This window comes from Homo sapiens, chromosome 17, assembly GCF_000001405.40.
Source record: "Homo sapiens chromosome 17, GRCh38.p14 Primary Assembly".
NCBI lineage: Eukaryota > Metazoa > Chordata > Mammalia > Primates > Hominidae > Homo > Homo sapiens.
This window is the reverse complement of record NC_000017.11, coordinates 72,113,358-72,128,079: the sequence shown is the minus strand read 5'-3', so window position 1 is coordinate 72,128,079 and position 14,722 is coordinate 72,113,358. Positions and strand designations below refer to the sequence as shown.

Genomic DNA, 14,722 nt, shown 5'->3' with positions numbered 1-14,722 from the left:
TACTGTGTATCAGAGCCACTTGGGGAGCTTATGAAACTCTTTTTCCTGGCTATTACTCCCAGGAATTCTAATGCAGGGGGACTGCTGTACAGACCAGGAGACTCCAATGCAGTCAACTCCCAGATTGCTCTGGCTAAAATCTCCTCTATTAACAACCCTGCTCTATGTAGGAGGAATTATAAACATACTCAGCAAAAGGGGAAAGTGAGGCACGGGAAAGCAAAACAACTTGCTTCAGTTCCCTTCACAAGTTTATGTCCGAACAGAATATTTTGGCTTCAAGAAGTCCTGGCAAAGGCCACATACTGGGAAAAAGAGCATATTTCTGGAAGGGAGAACAGTCTAGCAAACATACAGATTTGCTAGGGAAGGGGGTAGTCGCAGTGGAATGGTGTGTGTTGATTTTAATAGACAAAGGGATTAGAACGAATAAGGTAGGCAAGAATTAGTGAACACCACAGAGACTTTTAAAAAGGACTTTGTGAGTGTTGGCAAGAGAAAAAAAAAATAGAGATTTTGTAAGAAGGGAGGGCCTCAGCGCATGGAAGGCTATGTCACAAACAAGGAACAGAATTTGATGTCTGAAGGGGTAGGGAAGGATTTGCACAGTCCCCCGCAGATCACAGGCCCTCAATCAATGTTTGTCGAAGGAATTTGCAAAGGAGGCCGAGTACTAATGTTGCCTCGATTTGATAACTACCATTTTCCTGGTTGCCATGTTCCTGGTGTGGGATGTCAGCCAGGAATCCAATAAGCAGAAACAGACAATGTGAGGTAATGCCAGAGAGGTTGGACTCTGGTTAAGACTGCCAGAGACACAGGCCCAGTAGTAAAACTAGCCTGAGAGGGTGAAGGTGACTGACTCTTTAGAGACACTTCTCCAATCATCTGGGGTGTGGGAGTGGGGATGGGGAGGTGTGCCCATGTGAGGGAAGGAGTGATTTCATCTATTTAATGAAAAATGACCTGAACGTTTCTCTGAACCTGGAAACTCCCCATCTAACTGGGGCCAAGGAAAACAGGATTAGGTCTTGTTTCTTCTACAATGGCTTTGCGTCTGCTTAGAATGAGTTAAACTGGAGGGAGCAGAAAAATCATCCCCTTTCATTGTCTCTACAGAGAAATCTGGAAGGCTCTGAATCATTTAATGGGTTAATACGACAGGCTTCTCTCTGGTTCCCTGTAGACACTGATTTTCTCTGGCTTCCTTTGCTTTTTAAGTGGATACTCCATTTCTTGGGTATGTGTTCATAGGAACGGAAAGTTTGCCATATTAAAACCAGATAAGCAAGTCACCCCTCTGGCATTCTGTCTACTGACAAGCTCCTGATTTCAGGTCTAATATTCCCTGTGACCTCCACAAGGGACAGCTTTTGCCCTGAAGCATGAGGTCATGAAAACCACAACAAACATTTTTGCCAGAGTGAGCAACTACTGACATGTAATTTTCTGTGTGATCTATTGGAGTGGCACTTTTCAAGATTTTTCTGCCTAGATTTTTGGAGATACAGTCTTTTCCTCAGCTTGTTTTCTAGGATTGCCAAAGGTGCTGATAAAAAACAAAAACATCACAGCAATCAGCACTCCACAATGTCTTTTGTGCTCAAATTTGCCAAATCATCCAACAGGAGAACTGGGTGAATAAATCCACAGGGCCACTTTCTTTTTAATGCAATGTATATTTATTGTAAACAATAATATACAAAAAAAAAAAAGAGAAAGAAAAAGGGAAAGGTAAGTTTCACGGAGAGAACAAAAGGTTTGGGGCTGGGAGGGAAACAAGTGAAACAAACAAAACACGAACACAAACCAAAGCTTTTACCTAAAGACAAAATATGATTTAAATGCCAGGTTTCTTAAGTTACAGAAGTATCTTTTTAAAAAGATCTGCTTTTATACAGAAATTGAAGGATGCCATATTATGAGTGCTTTAAGATTTTATTCTACTGACTTCTAAAACTGTTAATATATCTTTTTTTAAATAAAAAAAAAAGTTTGCTGTCTTTTTTAAAAAGCAATCCTCAAACTCTCTAGCCACAGCAGTAATTAAGATTAAGGTCTGTCAGTGGGCTGATCCCCTCCAGGTAGCCTCCCTCACTCCAAGAGAAGATGCAGAGAAATATGGATGACACATGCTTGCATTGTTTTTGTGTCAAAACACACACACACCCACACACACACACAATATAAGGCAGCCCAAAGGTCTGTGGCAGAAAACACTGCAAATGACTCAGTGATACACTACATTTGCAATCTCTCATTTATACAAAAAAAGAAACAAGTTTCCAGTTTGTTTTCAACAAAAACAACAAAGAAAAAAGGGATGGACAAAAAGGCATTTATACAAATCTAGGGTGAGGAATACAAAGAAACTTGCTTTTAATAATAAAAAAAGATTAAAGAGATAAATAAAAAAAAACTGGTTACAGTTAAGAACATAATTTAACAACAGATGACCATACCCTTTGAGGAAAGCTCCAACAACCTATTTTAAAGAAGGTAAAATTGGAAAAAAAAAAAAAAAAGAATTTTTTTTTGTTTTAATTAAAACCTCTCCTTACAAAATAAATAATTTTAGCAAGTGGAATGTCTTGAAGGTTAACTGCTGGTGTTCTGAGAGGCACAGGTGACAGAGCGAGCAGGCATCTGCCTTCCACATGGGGCCCAGGCAGGCAACCGGGGGCAGTGTGCTCGGGCACTTATTGGCTGCTGAAACATTCCCAGAACAGATTTCATCTCCTTTGCTTGCCTTTTACCTCTTTCTTAAGACTGCAGTGAACAAGCAAAGGCAGGAGGAAATGCACTAAAAGAGTGCAAATGTTTCCCAGCAGCACCGTTTTAAGGCTCAAGGTGTTTTTCTCTTCTTTAAAAAATATATATATGATAAAGCTTACCAAATGCTTCTCTAGACTATTGTTTACTCCCATAATTGCAAAATAAGGCCTTTATTTTTTTTTAAGGCAGCTCCTCCTTAAATCGCAAAGCCTGAGGAATTAAGCAAAGTTAACCCCCAAAACTGATCACATAACACAATTCTGTTTTTAAATGTTAATACAACAGGATTTTTTTTTTCTTTTTGTAAGAGAAAGCAAATCTGTACAAAAATACTCTGGTTGCAAGAAAAGCTAGGGCACACTGTTCAACTAAGAGTAGTTTAGCTGTTGGAAAAATAAGAGCATTTAATTTTATCTAAAAATATGTATAAATCCCCTCAAAATGGTAATGAATCATACACAGTACATACTAAAAATATTTAAAATAGAGAATATTCCTCACAGAGGACTTTTTTCTTTAATTACTGCTAAAAAAATAATTACAAAGTCCAAACAGGCAGAGAGATTTAGCACACTGATCACACGATTCTCCATCATCCTCCACGCTTGCTCTGAAGAGGGTTTAAAAAGTCCAGTTTCTCGTTGATTTCGCTGCTCCATTTAGCCAAGGTTGGCCTGGCCACTGATTGGCCACAAGTGGGTAATGCGCTTGGATAGGTCATGTTTGTGTCTTGGAAATTTGGGTACGAGTTGCCTTTAGCTTAAATGTCTTTAAGGAAGAAGAAGAAGAAGAAAAAACAAAACAAAATAAAAAAACAAAAAAACACAAATGTCCAAAGGGAATTCTGGTTGGTCCTCTCTTTCTTCGGTTATTTTTAGGATCATCTCGGCCATCTTCGCCCTTCGTGGGAGGCCTCCTCAAGGTCGAGTGAGCTGTGTGTAGACGGGTTGTTCCCAGTGCTGGGGGCTGTGGGTCTGCGGGATGGAAGGGACCCCAGAGGTGTCGGCGATGGGGGTGTACATGGGGCGCTGAGCGGGGTTCATGTAGGTGAAGGTGGAGTAGAGGCCGGTGCCCTGGCCTGCCGCGTGGCTGTAGTAGGAGCTGGAGTTCTGGTGGTCGGTGTAGTCGTACTGTGAGCGGGTGATGGGCGGGTAGGAGGGGCTGTAGTGTGGGAGGTTGAAGGGGCTGTAGGCGATCTGTTGGGGCGAGTGCTGCTGCTGCTCGCTGTAGTGGCTGGGGCTCAGCTGCTCCGTCTTGATGTGCGTTCGCTGGGACTGGCCCGGCTCGCTGCTCAGCGTGGTCAGCGTGTGCGCCTGTGGCTGCTGCGGGGGTGCCGCCGGCTGCTGTGGGGGCGCCGCCTGCGGCTGCGGGGGCGCCTGCGGGGCCGGCGGGGCCTGTGGGGGCTGCTGCGGGGGTGGCGGCGGCGCCTGCTGCTTGGACATCCACACGTGGCCCGCGCTCGCCGGGGTGGCCGCGGTGCTGCTGATGCCGTAGCTGCCCGTGTAGGTGACCTGGCCGTGCGTGGCCGGCACCCCCGGGTGGCCGTTGGGCGGCAGGTACTGGTCAAACTCGTTGACATCGAAGGTCTCGATGTTGGAGATGACGTCGCTGCTCAGCTCGCCGATGTCCACGTCGCGGAAGTCGATAGGGGGCTGTCTGCCCCCCTCTGGCAAGGGGCGCCCCTCTCGCTTCAGGTCAGCCTTGCCCGGCTGCACGTCGGTTTTGGGGGTGGTGGGTGGGGTCGGTGGGCCCTGGGATTGCCCTGTGGACAATAAAAGAACAAGCACGAGAAAATCAACAAGGGCTGTGCAGACGCCCTAGTCTTAGGCACCCTCCGGGGACCCTCCCTCGCTGCTAAAGTGTAATAAGGGCCCGCACCCGCGCAAGAGGCGCGCTGCACCGGAGATAAGTCGCCCAATGATTAACCCGCCGGTACACACTGGACAGCCCCCTTTTATCAGGGGAGGGTCTGGGGCCCGGAGGGTCCGGAAGACCTAATTGCTACTTGTGTAAGAGCCCTGTGTGTGCTTTTGGGGTGGGGGAGCAGAGAAGAAGGGAGAGGTCTTGTAAGGCTGTTAAGGGCATTTTACCTCCCAATAAAAAAGTTAATCTCTTCGGATGCTGGGATTGAGTTGGGGTGTGTGTGTTTGTGTGTGTGTTGTTTGGATGCCTCTTAGGCTCTGGGTAGAGAGGGGAGCGGGACGGGCGCAAAGGGCAGTGTGTCCCTCCCGGGAAGCATAAAGTCCCCACGAAGAATCTCCCAGGCGGAGGGCAGGGGGTGTGCCAGGCGGGACGGAGATAGCTTGTCCGGTGGGGTCGAGGGGCGACTCACCCGAGTGCTCGCCGGGGGAGTGCACCTCGCTCATGCCGGAGGAGGAGTGTGGCGAGTCGGCCTGCAGCGCCTTGAAGATGGCGTTGGGGGAGATGTGCGTCTGCTCCGTGGCCTCCTCTGCCTCCGCCTGCCCGTTCTTCACCGACTTCCTCCGCCGCGGCTGGTACTTGTAATCCGGGTGGTCCTTCTTGTGCTGCACGCGCAGCCGCTCCGCCTCCTCCACGAAGGGCCGCTTCTCGCTCTCGTTCAGAAGTCTGCTCGGGGCGGGGCGGGGGGCACAGAGAAAAAGAGGGAGAGGGGTCAGTGAAATCCGCCAAACTGTCAGGTCGGCGGGGAGGAGGCGGCGACCCAGACCACTCGGCTTCCTCTGCACACAACTCCATCTTCCCTCCTGCCTGCAACCACAGCTCATAACTTTTCTTAAAAATAAATAAATAAATAAGTTATTGCAGTCTGACCTGAGCGGTCACTCCCCGCCCCCTCCCTCCCCTCCCCTTCTATTTCTATTTTGGAAACGCTGGAGATGAAAACGACTCCCGGTGCTGCCCCCTAAACGCCTTTGCTGCTCGACTTACCGCCCCCAACCCCAACCCCCTTTGAAAACTTTCCCCCAAATTACTTAAGCTGCAAGAAGGTCCCCAATTCTCACCCCCCACCATACACTCCCACCTATTTCCAGTAGCCTCCCTCCTCCCGCCTCCCAGTTCCTGCCAAGGGTCTCCTCCAACCTCGGTTTCTCCCTTGCCCCATCTCCGTGGACAGTGGGGCTGCACGAGAGAGTGCAGTTTTAAGAGGCCGGGTAGGAGGGAGGCAAGTTTCACTTCCCCGCCCCGATTGAGCTTCCAGGCGACTGGAGAGCAGGCTGGCAGCCCCCTCCTTCCGTCTCCCACCAGTCTTCGTCCATCCTCCAGCTACCTCCCTCACCTCTTCCACTTACCACCCCCCTCCTCCGCGTCCCCGCGAGCAGCCCAAGAACTTTGTCAAACTCTGAGCCACAGTTACACCCCATTCCCACTCCCAACCCCATCCCGCCGGCTCCCGGAACGGCAACTCCCGGGCGATGGGAGGCGGGGCGGGGCAAATCAGCCCTGACCAGCGCCCCCAGCCGCCGCGATGCCCACCCTGCCGCGCCGCCCCCGCCGGGTCCTACCTCCAGAGCTTGCCCAGCGTCTTGCTGAGCTCGGCGTTGTGCAAGTGCGGGTACTGGTCCGCGAGCTTCCTGCGCGCCGCCTGCGCCCACACCATGAAGGCGTTCATGGGCCGCTTGACGTGCGGCTTGTTCTTGCTGGAGCCGTTGACGCGCACCGGCATGGGCACCAGCGTCCAGTCGTAGCCTTTGAGCACCTGGCTGACCGCCTCGCGGATGCACACGGGGAACTTGTCCTCCTCGCTCTCCTTCTTCAGATCGGGCTCGCCCTTGGGGAACGTGTTCTCCTGGGGCCGCGTGTTCTCGGTGTCCGAGCCGGAGCCCGACGGGCAGGGCGAGCCCGCGGAGTCCTCGGACATGGTGGGGCTGGGGGCGCCGGACAGGCCCTTCTCCTGCTCGTCGGTCATCTTCATGAAGGGGTCCAGGAGATTCATACGCGGGCCCGGGGCAGGGGGCTGGTGGCCGGGAAAGGCGAGAAGCCGCGGCGGCTCGGGGACTCGAGGCGCGGGCTCCTCTCCCCTCGGCTGCCCGGATGCGGAGCAAGCGGCTCCCGGGGAAGCTGGCGCGTCGGCCGGCTACCGCGGCGAGCACTTAGGAAGGCGCGGGGTGGCCAGTTCACAGCTGCCCGCTCCAAGTGGGGGGAGGCGAATTGGAGAGGAGGAGGAGGGGAGGAAAAAGAGCAAAAGTGGGGGCGCTTGCACCCCTTCTCTTCTCCTCCTGCAAAGAAAAGTTTCCGGGGTTGAAACTGGCGAGTCTCCGCGCCACTGAAGTTTCCAGTCAGTTTCGAGCTCCGCTTTCGGCTCTCCAACTCCCAGCCCAGGGTCTCTTTAATAAATACTCCGCCTCACCTTAGAGCCACCCGCCAATCACAGCACAGCAGTCCCAGGGTTGGCAGGCAGCTGATTGGACCCGATTTTGGGGAGGGAGGAGGATTGTGGCACTGGGCTGGGTGACGAGGCGGGAGGGGAGGAGAGGGGAGGGGATCGCAGCCAAAGGGCGGACGGTAGGGTGGGGGGGCGGGGGGTGCTGCGGGGAAGGCGGGGGACCCGGGACTTCCAAGTGTGTAAGTTTGTCGTACTCTCGGAATGCCAGAATTTTAGTGCCTTCTCCGCGCGAATCTTGTGTGTGTGTGTGTGTGTGTGCGCGCAAGTGTGTGTGTCTAGACTAGGATCTACCCCCACCTCCGACATTTCTTTTCACTGCTCTCTCCGCGGCACCGGGGACTTAGCTGGAGTTTGCAGTATTCGAAAAGCAGCCGCTTCTTAATGCGTAGCCGAGTTTACGCGCCTGGAGCGAGCCTGCCTGCCTGCAAAAGTGCTTAGAAATAGTCTTTTGAAGCAAATGTTTTGGTGACTCAACGCCCGCTGTTCCTCCGTAATAATCCATATAAATAGATTAACATGCTCGGGTTCGCCGGGGCTGGTGCGGCTGGTCAGGATTCTGCTGCGCTTTTGCAAAGGGAGTCAATGGAAAGCAAAGCTAAGTCCCCGCGAAGGTTGGCAGCGGCGGCCGTGGCCACGCAGGAGCCCGGCGCTCTCGAGGCCGCCCCGCGCCACATCGACCTTGAGCTCTGACAAGTCATTCTCCAGCCCCCTCTACCCGCGACCCTGCCGACGCTCCTCAGTAACAGGGCTACTGCTCTGACGTTTTGGTCTTTGCCTCCTGGCCGGGTCAAAAACGTCAGCCGAGTCGCCCTGTCTGGGGGAGAGTTTGCTAACTGCTCTGGCTTTGAGAGATAGAAGTTTGCCAATGCGGCTGTCCCGGGCCGCGAGGCCCAGGCCGGTCACTTGGTTTGTAAAAGACCAAACAAATGGGCACCACCGCAGACAAAACGCTCCACTCTGGCGGAGTCATGCTGCTTGCCTGCTTTTGCTGGCATTTACGAAACACCTGAAGGGGTGAAGCGCCGGTGCTTCTGACTCTAGTCCGGTCGGTTCAGACCTGCATGTAGTTGGGAGTTCTGGGGGAGGCATTGGTGGTGTCTCTCATGTATTTCAAGTGTGATTTGAGCACAACCTTTGTGTTTACACGAAATGCTTAGAGCCAGGTTGGGTAAGTGCGGAGCTATCTGCTCTGGGATAGAAGAAAAGTCTTGGTCGCTTGCGGGTTCTGTGCTTTCAGAATCCCAAATAAACGCACAGCATTGGGAAACTCTTAATTTTAAACTCCCCCCCCCCCCCCACCCTTTTGGGCTCTTGCAAAAATTCGCCTCAATTAAATTATTGTTGTGGTGAATCGGCCCACATCATAATAAAAACTAGTTTTTTTTTCCCTTTCTAATTTGCGAAGTGAGGACACTATCACAAGATCCAAATCAATGTCCTTCCGGGAGAATTTCTTAAAATCTTGTTTTCTCTCGTTGTCTTCGGAAGAAGCCCGACATTTCTTATAGGAAATGGAACTCTTCATAAGGTAGTAAGTTACAGCCTTGTTCAACAGCATTTTTTTTTTAACGAATGTAACTTCTTCAAATGGGATGTTTCTGGTGCCCTATAGCTCGTTTACAAATTTAAGAGATTTGCATACAATAGCTTCGTATCCAGGGCTCTGTGATTACTTTCAGAAAGTGTAAGAACAGCATCGTCCTTTCCTAGGAGAAAAAAGTCCGCGTAGTGTGGACCTATTTCTGTGTCCCGGGTAGAAGGGCATTGTGTGTACAGTATAACTGTGTAATTCTCAGACACCTGATTCAGGAGACTCGGAGACCATCGGGCAGACATTTTAGCCAGGTCGTCTGTACTTAGTTGTATGATATTGTAATTACCATGTTTGCTGGAATAAAGTCAGTGAAGAGGGCTATGACTTTAAGATATTTTGGAATATTTCACTAAATATATGTCAAGATATATACGTATATGTATAAATATACTTTTAATGCAATTATGCAATAAGATACTAATATGTAGAGTTTTACATCATAAACGACGGGGATTTATACATTTCCCGTTGATTTGATGCAAGCATTTTTGAATTTTACATCTTCCTGAAAACTTATGAACAGGCGACTTAAAAATGGACTGCAGTTTTCATCTGTATCCAGAGGGGGCGCCAAAAGCCCAGAAACTGTTTCCAACTCCGAGAACCAGGGAAAACTTGGATGGTGGTGGCTGGGGGTGGTGTGTTCCAGTCAATCTGGACTGCTTTGCTGCTGAGATTTATATTTGCAGGAATTCCTACGCGATATTCCCTCCTGTGCGGATCCACCTCTGCGCAGCTCAGTGAGGGAACTTGTGTCTGTAGAGATCCGGGTGAAAAAAGAGCACTTGAGATGCCAGCCGTTCTATTCTGCGCAGAATTTGGGGACTGAGGCCAGGAGAAGGCCCCTATCCCCCAGGTGCCAAGCGTTGCCACCGTCAGGCCAAGTCTAGCGCGTGGCATTGTCAGCTCGCGAGTGGATCGGTCCTGCATTTCTGCAGGGGCCTCCTGGTGTCCACTCCCCTTTCCCCATTCAGGGGCTCCATTCGCTTCGTTGTGTCTTTCTCAGGTCGCCCCGACCCCTCCTCCCTGACCTGGGAAGACGCGCGCAGTCCCCGACCAGAGGACCTCAGACACAGGTAGAAGGAAAGGAACCCGCTCCTGATGTTCAGGTTACAGATCTGGAAACTAAGGCTGTTGACCCAGTGTTGGCTAGAGCATTTTGCCAGGGGCGAAAGGAGCCAGGGTCCTCCATCTGATGCGGTGAGGGAGGGAAAGGGCGCAGGTCACGAGGCAGGAGACGGAGGGCGCTTCTCCGTGTTCGGGACGTGCTTTCGGATACCCGCTCTTGAGCAAGCGCCGCGAGGTCTGCCGCCGGGAGCGGAGACACAGAGGTGCGAGTGGCTCCCCAGGGAAGCCCTCGGGAAACCGAGGTCTGGGATCTCCCCCTTTCCCCCTCTTGCACGTCCCGGACCGGCGCCGGGCTCAATTTCCCCAGCGGGGGCCGCCAATCTCTCCTCCGCGTCTACGCGGGAGCTGAGACCGGAGCCCAGAGTTGCTGGCGCAGGGCGAGTTTCTCGCAAACACTCAGTGCTCAGGATGGGGGTGAGGGATGCGAGCTGATGGGGTTCCTTTTACCTGGCGAATTAAGGACCACAACCTCCCTATCCAAACTTCCTTAGCAAAAGTGGGGACGGTGTTTAAATCCGTTTTCGGTAGGGACGCTTTTCTGTCCCTAGGGAAAGTTTGGTGGGGTGAGCAGCGGCGTCCCCCAAATATCTCAGCCCCGGACAATGTTCTCATTAGAGGTGATGGGAGAAGGGGTTACCCCTTGTCTATTCCAGTTCCCCAGGCCGGGTCCCTTGCAGGTAGAAGACTCCTATCCCTGGAGGGACAGGTCCCCGTGTCGCGGGCTCCCAGCCGCTCCTGTAATTAGTACATTTCGCTGGGCTTGGAGAGTGTTTATCGTCCGCTCTTCACGCCGGACACGAGTTTCTTGTGGAAGGGAGCGGCCGGTAAGCCCGTCTCTGGACTGGCGCTGGGCTGGACAGCAACAGCTAAGGGGAAAAGGAAAGTACCAGATAGCGTCGTAGGTGCGCAATAAATATCTGTTGACTGATCGAATAGATGTCACCTGTGGACGTGTTGCCCGAGTGAGTGCATGTCCCATCACAGCCGCCAGACCTCCCAGCGACAGTTGCGAACACGCGATGCTTGTGCATTCCTGCGTGTGTATTTCTCCCCACACGGGAGCCCGACTTTGGGAAGTTGACCGGCATGTGCCACTCAGGGCTGTGGAATCCCGACTCCGCTAAAACTGCAGACCAAGAGGCCCGTTTCAGTTTTCTTCCCTTTCCTGTTTTCGAAAAAAAGAAAGATGAGGTGGACGGGAGGTGTCGGGTGAGGGGGCGCGAACCTCCAATCTGCCCTGGTGACCTGGCCGGGTCTGGGGGCGTCGGGCGGCTGTAACACAGCAGGGCGCCCCGGGGGTACGGACCGGAGCCCAAGTCAGAGACCAGACCAGCTGGCTTGTCGTGGAGCTGCGGAGCCGATCAGGGAAAAAGGAGGGGTGGGAGTGGAAGGCCCCAGTCCCAAAGGGACAGCGCTCCCAAAGGGAGCGTGCTCTTTTTTCATTCTGGGTTTTGCGAAAATATCTGTCCTTAGCTGTGGCACCGGGGAGCCGCGCGTCATGCGGCTTCCCTCAACTCATCCCTAGAACGCCCTGCGGAAAATTTCCTAGGCCATCTCTTCCCCCTAACGCCCACTCCCACTATTTTAAAAAGTCTTTCAGGCATTTTTAGCTGAAGGTGATTTTGCCTTGGTGATTTAAAAGTAAAGATACAGTAAGCGCTCAACGCAGTGGTGCCTCCTTTGCGACATACTCGGCCGGGGCCACTTCGGCCCCAAGAGCTTCCTCCGCACGAGCAACTGCTCCTCCCCTTCGATCACCTTTCAGTTTAGGTCTATGCAGTCTCAGGTACCGACCAAAGAGGGCTGAGATTCTCAGGATGGTTTTGTGGGGTTTCCCTAGGGGAGGGCAGGCTCAATGGCGATGATTGCATCTCAGCCTGGAGGGATTCTAACCAGCGCTTCCCTCTAAGAGATCCCATTGGGTGGGTGATTATTCCGGATCTTAATCAGAGAAAGTGTCCCCATCAAGCCACGGAAATAGAGGACATGCTTGTAAGGTGCAATTTCGAAGGTAACGGTCAGAGTTAAAGACCAATTATCCTGTCTTCCCTGCGATCCTTTCCGTCTCAACAGGACCCGGGAAGTCCCGGGCAGAGCGCATCTCCCTGGCTCCTGCAAGCTACGGCTTCACCCAGCTTCGTGTTGGGCTCCGTTTTGGTTTTGGAGCGGCGTGAGGGAGTCTCGGGGGCTGGGTCGACTGCCACTGGCCTGAGCTCCGGACTCCGGGGACAGCGCGTCCTGTCCCGAGGGCCTCCCGCCCCCCGGGAAGGCCAAGGTCATGAGGTCAAACCCCAACTTTTGGGCTTCCGCGAGAGTAAAGCCCCCGGATGGTCCTCGGAGCTGTGACGTCACAAAAAGTGCTTGGGGTAGGCGGACCCACGGCTTTGTTAAACAGCCCAGGGGCTTCGGGGAGGAGTGGGGGCCCAAAGCAACTCAGGGACCCGTTGAGCTTCCTGCTTTGTCATTGTTTATTTCAAATTAATTTCATGATGCCTGTCGCTGACTGCAAAGGCTGCAGGAGAGACAGGCTGCCCTCGGGGTCTCTCCCAGCCTAGATAGGCAGACCAGGGATTTTTGAGAAAGCAGAGATTTTTGGTTTTCTTTCTTTCTTTCTTTTGTTTCTCTCTGTGCCATCTTTCTCCCAAGGCCCTTTCTCTCACTGATGTAAAAGGAAGAAGTGGAATAGTAAATGTCTTCTTTTTCTGTCTTCAGCCTTTTGTTTTCCGGATGGGTTGTGAAATTTGGACTGGCCTAGGAGAGGGGACAGTATTCCCCTTCCAAATCATTAAGACCCGGAAAATATAACAGTGTTCCTGTCACTATCTTTTGGATCACATGTGTTTACCCCCACGAGAAAGGGCAGGTTGATTTCTTCCACAGAGTTCTAGGACTGGAACCTGTTACTTTTTCTTCCCTAGTTTCCAGGTTGGCTAAAATGTGAGGGAATCCTGACAGAACACAGACAGAAGGCATCAACTGTATTACAGAAACTGGTCCCCTTTGGGGTCCCCCTAAAGCTCGCAAACTGTTAGCTTTGGTTGGCAAAAGAAGACTTTTTGTCTCATCTGCCTTAATATCCACAGGCAAAGCAGAGACAGATAAACAGTTACTAGTATAATTTAGGGGTAGGGTCACTATAGATTCAAGTATATGGGCATTTAATCTTTCCCCTAAATACTCATTTTCTTGGAGCAGTGGAGACATCTCATAGGTTGAGATGTTTTCCTCAGCAGCCAGGAGAAAAGGTGGTGTCTAACCCTGACGGAGGGGTTGATACTGTACCTGGAAGGTATGCTTTCTACCGTATGATTGGACAGAAAGGCAGAGTAGGTTTGCTCAGATATTCCACCCAGGCGTTCACCCCATCCCCACGCCTCCAGGGTCCACTTCTCCCCAGGGACCTGGCTCTAGAGTTTTCCTAGGGAGCTCCCAGTAGAGCATTAGTTTGAACCCCAACTATATTAAATATATGCTGTATCATGGGCGGCAAAGCAGGCTGTTGCGGGTGCTTGCAAATTTGCAAAGTATGGACGAACACGAGGCTGGGCAGGGATGGGGGGAATGGGGTGGCTACATCTAAATCTTTCTAGGACTCCAGATGACAGAGTAGAGTTCTGGGTAGAGGAAGTACAACGTGGTGGAGACACCATGTCCTTTCCATCCTGTCTTTCCCTGTCACTTGTCATGTCTCTCCCATTTAGCCCAACGTCAAATCATTCTGATTTTTGAATAAATCAATTCAGTGAATATTGCCTGAGGGCTGACAATGTGCCTAAACTTCTGAAGGAGACAAGATTTCATCTCTGCTGTTGTCTCCAGGTCTGGTTTCCCGCAGAATCCAGCCTCTGTCCACGTGAACTCTGCTCTGTCCTCTGGGCTCATAATGTTCTGAGACTCTTGCTGCCTCTTTCATGGATTCCCCTTCTATTTCCCTGAGACGACTCACAGGTCACAGAAAGCTGCCTCCCATCCTTGCGGCTCCATCAAGGTGCTTTGGAGGCAGGTAAAGCGCAGGTAAGGAGTGGCACCCCAAGCTCCTGGCTTGGTGGCAGACTCAGTCCCATCTCTTTCCTCTTGGCCCCAGGAGCCCTGCTGATGCTGTGTTGCCCTTTGACTGGGCCATCTTCTTTCTCCGCCCTCGCCCCTTCTTGGTCCAAGCCCAGAAATGCCTTGTAGTGTGTGGTACGCTTCACTCTCTCTTTGGGGGACATCTGCCAACCAGCACAGTGGTGATGACAGTTTCCAGATGATTTTCCAGGAGCAAAGAAATGTTCTGGGGGAGGAGAGAGTGGCATTGGCCAAACACTGAGTGGGCTGAACATTGTGGTTCCGGAAGAGGCCCAGGGAGGTGGAGTTTCATGAGGCTCAAAGATTTCTTTTTCCTCTTTAGATTCTGCCTAAAGCAAAAGTCACTAATTGCTTTGTATTTTCCTGGCACTTAAATGGTTCTCTGGTTTCTGACTCTCCTCCAGGAACTTAGGTTTTAGGAAAGCAGGGCTTCAGGGTGATATCAGTGGGGACATTTGCCTCTAAGCTCACCTTCCTCAGCTCAGCTAGGCCCAAGGCCTACTTCAGCCAACTCTTGGGTTATTATAGGATCCTCAGCCAAGTGGACTGCACAGTCTGGGCAGAGGATAGAATACAAACTCACCTATTCCCTTCTCCTGTCTCTGGGATTTGCCACTCCAACTTCACTTCTGCTCGAAGCATTTTGATATTTAGTCAGGCAAACCAGGAAGTGCTAGTGAAGTTGTTTTGGAGACTTAAGAATGGGTTCAGGCCAGGCGCGGTGGCTCACGCCCATATTACCAGCACTTTGGGAGCCCGAGGGGGACAAATCACTTGTGGTCAGGAGTTCGAGA

The 14,722-nt window shown here is 51.7% G+C and overlaps 1 protein-coding gene and 1 long non-coding RNA gene across 3 annotated transcripts in view, besides 16 other annotated features; one reads left to right on the top strand and one right to left on the bottom strand.

The window, feature by feature from the left end:
* On the bottom strand, positions 1,664-7,060 carry SOX9 (SRY-box transcription factor 9). Its single transcript, NM_000346.4, has 3 exons — positions 6,258-7,060; positions 5,108-5,361; positions 1,664-4,537 (listed from the first exon to the last, which is right to left on the bottom strand). The coding sequence occupies exons 1-3, from the start codon at positions 6,686-6,688 to the stop codon at positions 3,693-3,695; spliced, it is 1,530 nt and encodes a 509-aa protein (NP_000337.1). The 5' UTR covers positions 6,689-7,060; the 3' UTR covers positions 1,664-3,692.
* Positions 4,362-4,885: an enhancer, noted in NCBI's record as "H3K27ac-H3K4me1 hESC enhancer chr17:70119336-70119859 (GRCh37/hg19 assembly coordinates)". NCBI's record gives its function as "activates a minimal SCP1, AML or CMV promoter by ChIP-STARR-seq in naive H9 embryonic stem cells {active_cell/tissue: H9 hESC(naive)}" and the evidence as "EXISTENCE:reporter gene assay evidence [ECO:0000049][PMID:30033119]".
* Positions 5,389-5,418: an enhancer, noted in NCBI's record as "+1643 to +1672 fragment". NCBI's record gives its function as "enhancer in ATDC5 chondrogenic cell line" and the evidence as "EXISTENCE:reporter gene assay evidence [ECO:0000049][PMID:11606049]".
* Positions 5,389-7,795: a biological region, named in NCBI's record as "SOX9 promoter region". NCBI's record gives its function as "regulatory_interactions: LOC108004546 | LOC108004547 | LOC108004548 | LOC108004549 | LOC108004550 | LOC108021839 | LOC108021840 | SOX9 | SOX9CRE1".
* Positions 6,075-6,174: a silencer, noted in NCBI's record as "silent region_8911". NCBI's record gives its function as "represses an Ori minimal core promoter by ATAC-STARR-seq in GM12878 lymphoblastoid cells {active_cell/tissue: GM12878}" and the evidence as "EXISTENCE:reporter gene assay evidence [ECO:0000049][PMID:35858748]".
* Positions 7,028-7,173: a promoter, noted in NCBI's record as "-113 to +33 promoter fragment". NCBI's record gives its function as "core promoter" and the evidence as "EXISTENCE:reporter gene assay evidence [ECO:0000049][PMID:11606049]".
* Positions 7,028-7,795: a promoter, noted in NCBI's record as "-734 (XhoI) to +33 promoter fragment". NCBI's record gives the evidence for it as "EXISTENCE:reporter gene assay evidence [ECO:0000049][PMID:11606049]".
* Positions 7,085-7,414: a silencer, noted in NCBI's record as "silent region_8910". NCBI's record gives its function as "represses an Ori minimal core promoter by ATAC-STARR-seq in GM12878 lymphoblastoid cells {active_cell/tissue: GM12878}" and the evidence as "EXISTENCE:reporter gene assay evidence [ECO:0000049][PMID:35858748]".
* Positions 7,110-7,133: a protein binding site, noted in NCBI's record as "CBF-B CCAAT-2 site". NCBI's record gives its function as "positive regulation of transcription" and the evidence as "EXISTENCE:protein binding evidence [ECO:0000024][PMID:15908194]".
* Positions 7,144-7,168: a protein binding site, noted in NCBI's record as "CBF-B CCAAT-1 site". NCBI's record gives its function as "positive regulation of transcription" and the evidence as "EXISTENCE:protein binding evidence [ECO:0000024][PMID:15908194]".
* Positions 7,193-7,218: a protein binding site, noted in NCBI's record as "CREB probe". NCBI's record gives its function as "positive regulation of transcription" and the evidence as "EXISTENCE:protein binding evidence [ECO:0000024][PMID:17289023]".
* Positions 7,228-7,236: a protein binding site, noted in NCBI's record as "Sp1-2 site". NCBI's record gives its function as "positive regulation of transcription" and the evidence as "EXISTENCE:protein binding evidence [ECO:0000024][PMID:17289023]".
* Positions 7,268-7,275: a protein binding site, noted in NCBI's record as "Sp1-1 site". NCBI's record gives its function as "positive regulation of transcription" and the evidence as "EXISTENCE:protein binding evidence [ECO:0000024][PMID:17289023]".
* The window catches only part of SOX9-AS1 (SOX9 antisense RNA 1), a 49,752-nt gene continuing 42,316 nt past the window's right edge, over positions 7,287-14,722 (top strand). Inside the window, exons 1-2 of one of the 2 annotated variants that reach the window (NR_103738.1) lie at positions 12,064-12,226; positions 13,680-13,874. This is a non-coding gene — a long non-coding RNA (SOX9 antisense RNA 1). Of the gene's footprint in view, positions 7,318-12,063; positions 12,227-13,679; positions 13,875-14,722 lie in introns of those variants that run through there. The other variant, NR_103737.1, reaches the window with a different exon arrangement.
* Positions 7,288-7,326: a protein binding site, noted in NCBI's record as "-289/-203 RelA response element". NCBI's record gives its function as "positive regulation of transcription" and the evidence as "EXISTENCE:protein binding evidence [ECO:0000024][PMID:19254740]".
* Positions 7,718-7,756: a protein binding site, noted in NCBI's record as "NF-Kb p65 site; blocked by cytosine methylation". NCBI's record gives its function as "positive regulation of transcription" and the evidence as "EXISTENCE:protein binding evidence [ECO:0000024][PMID:23592398]".
* Positions 7,897-8,397: an enhancer, noted in NCBI's record as "H3K4me1 hESC enhancer chr17:70115824-70116324 (GRCh37/hg19 assembly coordinates)". NCBI's record gives its function as "activates a minimal SCP1, AML or CMV promoter by ChIP-STARR-seq in naive H9 embryonic stem cells {active_cell/tissue: H9 hESC(naive)}" and the evidence as "EXISTENCE:reporter gene assay evidence [ECO:0000049][PMID:30033119]".
* Positions 9,763-10,384: an enhancer, noted in NCBI's record as "H3K4me1 hESC enhancer chr17:70113837-70114458 (GRCh37/hg19 assembly coordinates)". NCBI's record gives its function as "activates a minimal SCP1, AML or CMV promoter by ChIP-STARR-seq in primed H9 embryonic stem cells {active_cell/tissue: H9 hESC(primed)}" and the evidence as "EXISTENCE:reporter gene assay evidence [ECO:0000049][PMID:30033119]".

Bases quoted from the DNA above. Each gene is read 5' to 3' on its own strand.
- SOX9 (NM_000346.4), bottom strand. From the start codon at position 6,688: ATGAATCTCCTGGACCCCTTCATGAAGATGACCGACGAGCAGGAGAAG. The intron at 5,362-6,257 runs GTAGGACCCGGC...CGCCCCGAGCAG, and splicing joins ACGCTGGGCAAGCTCTGGAG to ACTTCTGAACGAGAGCGAGA. The intron at 4,538-5,107 runs GTGAGTCGCCCC...TATTGTCCACAG, and splicing joins CTCCCCCGGCGAGCACTCGG to GGCAATCCCAGGGCCCACCG.